Consider the following 10123-nt stretch of genomic DNA (forward strand, 5'->3'; position numbering starts at 1 on the left):
CTGTTTGATAAGCCCGTTGGAAAGTGTAGTATTAGGGTGGGAGTGACCCGATTTTCCAGGTGCCGTCTGTCACCGCTTTTTTTGACTAGGAAAGGGAATTCCCTGACCCTTGCGCTTCCTGGGTGAGGCGATGCCTCATCCTGCTTTGGCTCACACACGGTGCACTGCACCCACTGTCTGGCACTCCCCAGTGAGATGAACCCGGTATCTCAGTTGGAAATGCAGAAATCACCCGTCTTCTGCCTCGCTTACGCTGGGAGCTGTAGACTGGAGCTGTTGCTATTCGGCCATCTTGGCTCCACCCCTGTTTAACATCTTTTAACATGTTTATTGGCCATCTGTATATCTTCCTTGGAGAAATATCTATTCAGATACTTAGCCCACTTTAAAATTGGGTTATTTCTCTTCTTGCTATTGAGTTGTAAGAATTCTTTGTATATTCTAGACACCCTTTTCAGATACATGATTTGAAAACATTTTTTCCTATTCTGTAGATTGTCTTTTCACTTTCTTGATGGTGTCCTTTGAAGCATGAATGTTTTACATTTTGATGAAGTGCATTTATTTTTTCTTTTGTGTTTCTTATAATTTTGGGGTCATATCAAAGAATTCTTTTTTTTTTTTTTGAGACAGAGTCTCACTTTGTTACCCAGGCTGGAGTGCAATGGTATGGTCTCGGCTCACTGCAACCTCTGCCTCCTGGGTTCAAGTGATTCTCCTGCCTCAGCCTTCCAAGTAGCTAAGACTACAGGTGCATGCCACCACACCCGGCTAATTTTTGTATTTTTAGTAGAGACAGGGTTTCACTATGTTGGCCAGGCTGGTCTTGAACTCCTGACCTCAGGTGATCTGCCCACCTTGGCCCTTCAAAGTGCTGGGATTACAGGCGTGAGCCACCATACCTGGCCATATCAAATAATTCTTTGTCAAATCTAAGGTCATGAAAATTTATCCTTATGTTGTCTTCTAAGAATTTTATAGTTTTAGATCTTACATTTAGGTCTTTCATTCATTTTTGCTAATTTTTATATATAGTGTGAGGTAAGGGTTCAATTTTATTTTATTTTTTCACAGGTGGCTCTCCAGCTGTCCCAGCACCATTTGTTGCAAGACTGCCCTTTCCCTATTGAATGGTCACAGCACCCTTGTTGGAAATCAGTTGACCATAGATGTGAGGGTTTATTTCCAGACTGTCAATTCTATCCCATAATGAAGAAAGTACCACACTATTTTGATTACTGTTGCTTTTTAGTAAGACTTGGAATCAGAGAATGTGAGTCTTCCAGCTCTGTTCTCCTTTTCCAAGATTGTCTTGGCTATTCTGGGCTTCTTGCAATTCTGTGTGACTTCCAGAATCAGCTTCTTAATTTCCACAGAGACATCAGTTGGGATTCTGATAGTGAGTGCATTGAATCGGCAGATCAGTTTGGGGAGGACTGCTGTTGTGGCAATGTCAAGTCTTTCAATCCATGAACGTGGGATGTCTTTCCATTTATTGAGATCTTCTTTAATTTCTTTTAATAATGTTTTTTAGTTTTCAGAGTATAAATTTTACTCTCTTTTGTTAAGTTTATTCAAAAGTATTTTATTTTTGATGTTATTGTGAATGGAATTGTTTTCTTAATTTAATTTTTGGATCACCCATTGCAGGTGTATAGAAATAAACTGATTTTTGTATATTGATCTTATATTATGCTATCTTAATAAGCTTAGTTGTTAATTTTAACAGTTTTTTTTAGTGGATTTCTTAGGATTTTCTGTGTACAAGATTATGTCGTTTGCAAATTTTCCTTTCCAATTTTTTTTTTTTTCTTAGATGGAGTCTGGCTCTGTCACCCAGGCTGGAGTGCAGTGGCGTGATCTTGGCTCACCGCAACTTCTGCCTTCCAGGTTCAAGTGATTCTCCTCCCTCAGCCTCCTAAGTAGGTGGGATTACAGGTACCCACCACCACACCTGGCTAGTTTTTGTATTTTTAGTAGAGATGGGGTTTTGCCGTGTTGGCCAGGCTGGTCTCAAAGTCCTGACCTCAGGTAATCTGCCTCCCTTGGCCTCCCACAGTGCTGGGATTACAGGCGTGAGCCACCATGCCCGGCTTTCCTTTCCAATTTGAATGGCCTTTATTTCTTTTTCTTGCCAAATCTCTCTGGTCAGAACCAGTAAAATATTCAATAGCAGTGATGACGGCAGACATGCCTGGCTTGCTCCTGATCTTTGGGGGATGTTTTCAGTCCTTCATCATTAAGTAGGAAGCTAGCTGCGTTTCTTTTTGTATATGTTCCTTATCAGGTTGAGGAAGTTCACTTCTATTTTCATTTTTTCAGTGTTGTTATCATGAAAGGGTGTTGGATTTTGTCAAATGTTTTTTCTGCGTGTACTGAGATGATCATGTCATTTTTGTTTTTTATTCGATTTATAAGATGTACTACCTTAAATTATTTTTGGATGCTAAAACGACCTTGCATTTTTGGGATAAAACCCACGTTTTTCATTTATAATTCTTTTTATATGTTGCTGGATTTGGTTTGCCAATATTTTGTTGAGGATTTTTGTGTCCATATTCTTAAGAGATATTGGTCTAGTTTTCTTGTGATGTCTTTGTCTGGTTTTGGTATCAGAGTAATACTGGCCTCACAAAATGCCAACTATCTGAACAAAACAAAACAACCTCCCAATCTATCATTTTAATGAAGTGCTCTAGAATTTTGCTGGCAGTCCACGTGAAATTTTCTAGTACTGGAGTTACTAGATGACCAGTCCTATTGTACCAACTTTTTGGCTTTAAGATTCCATTTGCATATTGTTTCTGCCTTCTCCAAAGGCTTTGAACGTGCATTTAGACCAAAATATTAAAACTTTGACCACTGTGGGTGGCTACATTTCACCTCACATTCATGAATTCATCAGTTAGTGAGTGAATGAGTCCCCTGCCTCTCCACCCGGACTCCACAGATCTCCTCTGCACGTTCTGAGCTGCAGGGAACCCTGTTTATTCCCCAGCTATCGGAGACGTCTCCAAACTGAAATTACGTCTGCAGTTTCTGCGGGGGCTTTTTCCTTCCTGCTTTTCCATTATTAATAATTCACCCTTGATCTTCACAGAAACCTATGCAGCAGGGGCTTTCACTGCCTTCATTTTTCAGATGAGGAAACTGAGGCTTGCTGAGGATATGCGGGCTGCCCAAACGTCTCACAGCTGGCGGCTGGCAGGCCAGAGGTTCTGCCCTGGTCCATCTGACTGTGGCCCCGGGACTCAGCTCCTTCAGGCCACTGGTGCTGCATGCCTTGTTCTGAGGGCTTGGGGGTGGGAGGCCGGGCAGCTCTTATGAAAACATAGACTCCAAAGCGGGGGCGGTGGCCATGCCCCTTTCTCCTGCTGCCTCGCATCTGCCACCCTGCTGTCTGCCCTTGCTCATGCCTGAGCTGCCGGGAGGACAATCATGTCCCTTCAGAAAGGACGAGGCTCAAGGACCCCGTTCGACTCACTCCGGCAATTTGTTCTTAATCAAAACCATCGCAGTTCCCGGCTGGGAGTCTTGATTAAGCCTCTCCAGCGGGTGCTCTGACTCCAAGCCTCGTCCCTGATTTTTTTATTTAATTTCTTCCCACTCTTCTTTCAGATTTCTAGGTCAGGGAGTTTGAGGCTCGTTCTTGCTTCAGTGCAGCTTGGCGGTTTTGTGTCTGGTGTGAGGTTTCTGCCTGGAGGGTGAGGGTGGAAAACCTTGCCCTTCAGCCAGGACTGAAACCCCAATTGACGGCCCTCCCTGACTGTCCGCGTTCCCAGCCCCGAGGCTGCAGGGCCATTCTTCTTGACCTCTCTTGAACCTTCGCCCCCTACAGAGCCAAGGTTAAGGGTCACTTTCTCAGCTTCCTTCTGCTGGAGAGAACCAAAGATCTGCTCCCCTTTTGTGTGCAGGGGGTCGCTGCCCTGTGAACGGTTTCCAGGCACAAGGCCGTGTGTCTGTCTTTGAGGGAGAGACTTGTGGGGTCATCTGTCCTGAAGTGACAGAGGTTTTCTCCTGTTCTTCCAGCAGCAGCTTTGAACTGGGGAGCCAGAGAAAGGAGGAGAGCGGTGGGAGAGAGGAGGAGGAAGAACCAGGGACCGTTAAGGATGGTTGATCTCTTTGTGCCTTTTAGGGAGAGAGGTCAGCATCGGATGGATGGTCACGCCTTCGGCCTCACAGAGGCAGAGGCCACCAAGGGTCACTTCCTTGAGCTCAGGGGCAGCCCCAGTGTCACTAGGCCCCTCTGAGAGGCACCAGGCAGCCGCTCCCCATCCCCGCTGTGGGGGCACAGGACGGTTGTGATGGGGACTCCCTCCTTTCCCCTAGTGTTGGGAAGGCAGCACCCCAACCTCTTCCTCAACGGTGACAATTCCCAAGGACTGTGTATCCTTAAAAAGGAGGTGGGAAGGCTTTGCAGCACTTTGGTGAGACCAATGTGGACACTGAGGCACATGCCAGCCACTTAGGCCCCTCAGCCTCTGCCTGGAGCAGTGCGGGTCCCTCTATGGCAATGCGGCCTCTGTGGACCTGCTGACCATGTGGCAGGCTCTGTTTCCTCTGAAAACTGCCCCGTCCACTGAGAATCTTCCACATGGGCTCCTGCCGACAGGTGCTAACCTTCAGAACTTTCTGATGGAGGTGACCTTCCTGAATTCCACCTCTTTTTTTTTTTTGAGACGGAGTCTCACTCTTGTCGTCCAGGCTGGAGTGCAACGGTGTGATCTCAGCTCACTGCAACCTCCGCCTTCCGGGTTTAAGCGATTCTCCTGCCTCAGCCTCCCAAGTAGCTGAATTCCAGCTCTTTCTAACTGCGCATTTCCCCCTGATAGCACGAATGCTCATTTAAGAAAAGTTGCAAAATACAGTTACAAAAAAGTTTTAAAAAGATGAGAGCCTTATTCCCTAGCGTTAATTATTGTAAATGCTTTAGAGTATTTTTCCCATCCTTTGATTAATTAGCATGTTTTGTGTATGTATGTATTTCATTAAAAACAAAAGTAGAATGCTCCTAGGTACAGTTTTGCATCCTGCCTTTCCACTTAATGGTATGTGTCATGGACATTTTTCACATCATTAAACCCTTTTCAAGAACATCATTTAAATAGCTACAGAGCTTTCCATTGTTTGGGGACACTACAATGTATCTTGTTCTTCTCCATTGTTAAAAGTTGACATGGAAAACGCTTCTGAACCTGGCTACATCTTATATAAACACGTTTGGACAATATGAGGCTCTTTTATGATCCGCTGACAGAAGGTGCTGAGCACAGGCTCCGTTGGTCCGGTCTTTGGCCCATGAGGCTGGAGAATCTTTGGGCACTAGAAAGTCGGTAGAGAAGCCAGGCGCGGTGGCTCATGCCTGTAATCCTAGCACTTTGGGAGGCTGAGGCAGGCAGATCACTTGAGGTCAGGAGTTCGAGACCAGCCTGGCCAGCATGGTGAAACCTTGTCTCTACTAAAAATACAAAAATTAGCTGGGCACGGTGGCAGGCGTCTGTAATCCCACCTACTGGGAGGCTGAGGCAGGAGAATCGCTTGAACCTTGGGAGGTGGAGGTTGCAGTGAGCTGAGATCATGTCACTGCACTCCAGCCTGGGGGACAGAGTGAGACTCCATCTCAAAAAAAAAAAAAAAAAAAAAGTCAGTAGAGAAACAAACCCTCATGCTCATGTGTCTATGTGTGTATTTGTGTCTGTGCGTGTAGACCAGTGTGTGTGTGCATGCGTGAGAACAGACCCAGGTATAGACTGGATATATGGAAATTGGTGACCGGCCTCTCTCTGGGGCTTTTGGTTGCAGGCACAGTGGCGGTGGGCCGGCCCTGGTGGACTGGAAGCTGGGTTTGGGCGGAGGGTCCAGGAAGGCTGACTTTGCCATGAGCCCCTGCCATGGTCACGAAAAGTCCACCGATAGGACCCAAATGGAACTCCACACAGTGCCTCTCAGAATGGAGGCTACCAGGTGTGGGCCGCAGCCTGGGACAGGCTTCAGGGAGGCCTGTGGGGTGACCGCAGATGATGGTGGGGAAGACAAGTGGGGCAGCAGCTGTGTCTGCATAAACTCTCCTGTAGCTTCCCGATCTCTCTCCCCTTTGTGGAAGGCCCAGTGGCGACTTGAGCAGTTAGAAGCACTGTGGCCGTGGAGCTGTGGCCACCACCTCTAACGCTGAGGTGCTCCATCCGTGCCGTGTGGCCCCGCGTGTGGGCATTCCTTTACTCTGGCAAGTCTGATGTTGGCAGGTGGCTGGGATTATGTTCCTGCTTGCTTGATTTTCAGTTTTTTTTTTTTTTTTTTAAAGGGAACACATAAAGGATAAAGAAATCTGCAAAGTTGTTTAAAAGAGCAAATTTTTTTTTGTTTGTTTTTTGAGATGGAGTCTCGCTCTGTCGCCCAGGCTGAAGTGCAATCTCGGCTCACTGCAACCTCCGCCTCTCGGGTTCAAGCGATTCTCCTGCCTCAGCCTCACAGTAGGTGGGATTACAGGCACGCACCACCATGCCTGACAACTTTTTGTATTTTTGGTAGAGGCAGGGTTTCACCATGTTGGCCAGGCTAGTCTTGAACTCCTGACCTCAAGTGATGCATCTGCCTCGGCCTTTCACAGCGCTGGGATTCCAGGCTGAGCCCCCGCGCCCGGCCAAAAATAGCAGATATCTTTTGACTCCTACTATAAACTTTTATCAATATGAGAGGAAAAGACATGCACTGACTTGAGTTTTGTGATCACAATGGCTCCAGACAGGATGGGCGCTTTTCCTCAGAGGATGCCAGGTGGATCCAGGCAAGGGAATGAAGCCGGTACGGCCACCTCAACCCTGCGAGACGACATGTCATTGCAGCCACATGGATCTCAGAGATTGTTAGATTATTTTAGCAAAAGGTCATAGGTCTCATGTACAAAATCTTCTTCCTTTGTGGCTAATTGCAGGGAAAACAGATAGTTACTTTCTCAATTTACTGGCGCTCCTGTAGCTTCTTGTATTTCCACCGCAAGGCTGCTGTTTGGGTGGATTCATGATTGTCTCTCTCTCTCTCTCTCTGTCTCTCTCTCTCTGTCTCTCTCTGTCTCTCTGTCTCTCTCTCTCTGTCTCTCTCTCTCTGTCTCTCTCTCTCTGTCTCTCTCTGTCTCTCTCTCTGTCTCTCTCTGTCTCTCTCTCTGTCTCTCTCTCTGTCTCTCTCTCTGTGTCTCTCTGTCTCTCTGTCTCTCTCTCTGTCTCTCTCTCTCTGTCTCTCTCTCTCTCTCTGTCTCTCTCTCTCTCTGTCTCTCTCTCTGTCTCTCTCTCTGTCTCTCTCTGTCTCTCTCTCTCTCTCTCTGTCTCTCTCTCTCTGTCTCTCTCTCCCTCCCTCTCTCCCTCTCTCTCTCTCTCTCTCCCTCTCTCCCTCTCTCCCTCTCTCTCTCTCTCTCTCTCTCCCTCTCCCTCTCTCTCTCTCTCTCTCTCTCTCTGTGTGTGTGTTTGATAAAGCACAGTGAGCTTTGAGGAGTCCATTTAATCCCTGCAGAAACCTAAGAGTGGTTTTAAAATCTAAATTATTGTCAAGAGTGACATTTTCATTTGACTTTAAGGGAAATGGTCCATTTCAAACAAAGACAAAAAATTGCACCAATGTCTCAGGGCTGAGATAATTTTTTCCCAGTAATACAAGAAGAACCATTAGTATGAATAGCAGAAAGGGGATCATCTCTCATGAACTTACTTTGAGGAAGGTTTAGAAAGCACCATCCTGGCCAGGTGAGCCCGCTGGCTGAGGAGGGTGTGGGCGGGACACAGGTGAGCCCGCTGGCTGAGGAGGGTGTGGGTGGGACACAGGTGAGCCCGCTGGCTGCGGAGGGTGTGGGCGGGACACAGGTGAGCCCGCTGGCTGGGGAGGGTGTGGGTAGGACACAGGTGAGCCCGCTGGCTGGGGAGGGTGTGGGTAGGACACAGGTGAGCCCGCTGGCTGGGGAGGGTGTGGGTGGGACACAGAGAGGACCAGGATGCTTGCCTTTTCCTCTTCCTCCTTGGCAGCTTGCCCAGGTGCTTGCTAATGTATTCAGTAAAGTTCAAAATAGGGCAGCTGCCCCCAAAATATAGTTTGGAGTGTCCATAAGAAATGTTCTCATTTTTGCCCCCTGAGCCACATAGGCATGACAGTGGGACACGGGGTCTGGGGCGAGGCTGGACGCTGCCATCCAGCACCCAGCTCGTTTCGGCCTGGGCTGCCCTCAGCACTGCGCAGACCCGCGAGCTCCTCATTTCCCCGGAAGATGAACGAGAAGGTTCGCGCGAGATTCTCTGCAAAGCCCTGGCACAGGCCCCGTCCCTGCAGCTGTTTATTGACGCTGTGGCGGCCGAGACGGCATGTTTGGAAATCTGCTTGGCATGGAGACTGCGGTGCCCTGACCACTGCAGACAAGAACTCGTCTTAACACCTGCAGGCTAAAGGAGGAAAGAGTGGGGTGTCTGCGTTAGAGGTTCAGAGCCGCAAGACTCCAACAGCCAAGTTCAACGACAGGCAGAGTTGGTGCCTGGAAACTTCTGTGGATCAGAGGGTTGTTGGTGGTGGTGGGTGCACACCTCACTCATGGTGGTGGTGTCTGAAACAAGACCCTTTTTGCTTTCTGTAGAACTGGCATAGACCGTGTGGTGCAGGTTCAGCTCCAGCTGTCAAGAGGAAGTTAGAGATGAGACAGTTACTGAGCAGGCTTCATCAGAGACCAAATGAACGCAGGGTTTCAAAAGCAAGACTTGGGGCCTCTCAGCTGAGCATTGTGACTTCTAGTGGGGTTTACGTGGCTCTGACAGGGTGTCCTCTGTGGCAGCAGCGTGGAGTGAGAGCACATTGTCCTCACGCTGCTCGCAAACCTGGTCAGGATGAGATGGTGAGAATGAGGCAGATTCTCGATGTGGTGAGGGCATCAGATAGCTGAGGCATGTTGAGAACACCCCCCAGCAGACGCCCACAGCCAGGTTGTGGTGTGGAAGACGAGCCGTGGGGGTTAAAATCAGCTGCTTTTTTTCACACAACGGTCCCTTGAGTGCCGATACAGACCTTGCTCTGATGTGCGGCAGGCGGACATTGTTCCAAGTTATGCTACTTTTGTTAAAAAAAGTACTTGCTGGTGAGAGATGATAATTTGAATGTAGTAACCTGGCACTTAGTTCATTTGCGCATGCCAGGCCAGTGACCGCCCGCTGCTCGTGATAAATACTGGGACTGGCCTCTCACTTTGGCTAATATTTTACCACAGTTCGAATTCACCTCTTCAAGCCTGAGCCCATGTTCTTTTTTTCCCACCTCGCCCCCATCCCCATCCTCACCCCTCACCCTCATCCCATCCCCCTCACAATCCCCATTCCCGTCCCCATCCGCCCCCACCCCATCCTCACCCCATCTGTCCCCACCTCACCCCATCTTCATCCCCATCCATCCTCCCCCCATCCTCATCTCCATCCATCCCCATTCACCGCATCCTCATCCCATCTATCCCCACCTCACCTCATGTGTCCCCACCCCATCCTCACCCCATCCGTCCCCACCCCATCCTCACCCCATCTGTCCCCACCTCACCCCATCTTCATCCCCATCCGTCCCCACCCCATCCTCACCCCCATCCGTCCCCACCCCATCCTCACCCCCATCTGTCCACACTCACCCCATCCTCACCCCCATCTGTCCACACTCACCCCATCCTCACCCCCATCCATCCCCACCCCATCCTCACCCCCATCTGTCCACACTCACCCCATCCTCACCCCCATCTGTCCACACTCACCCCATCCTCACCCCCACCACATCCCCATCCGTCCCCACTCACCCCATCCTCCCATCCTCTTCCCCACCCCATCCATGTCACAGTTCATGGGAAGCCTGGTGCACATGTGTAGAACCAGAGCCACCCTATCCCTGTCCCTCCCTTCCCTCCCCACTGGCTGAGCGGGAGGGGATGGCCTGGGATTGGCTTCCTACCGTTGCCATGACTGTTGCTAGGATCAGGGCTGTCTCCAGCCCCTGCAGGAAACATGTAATGAATTATGGATGTCCGATTTTCTCTGAGAGGCCTGATCTGTAATGCAGATGAGCACCAAGTCCCCCTTTTCTTCTGGTTTCTTAAGAAAAAAAAATCAGTTTTAAATCCGAA

Source organism: Homo sapiens, chromosome 7 (genome assembly GCF_000001405.40).
Source record: "Homo sapiens chromosome 7, GRCh38.p14 Primary Assembly".
Lineage (NCBI taxonomy): Eukaryota > Metazoa > Chordata > Mammalia > Primates > Hominidae > Homo > Homo sapiens.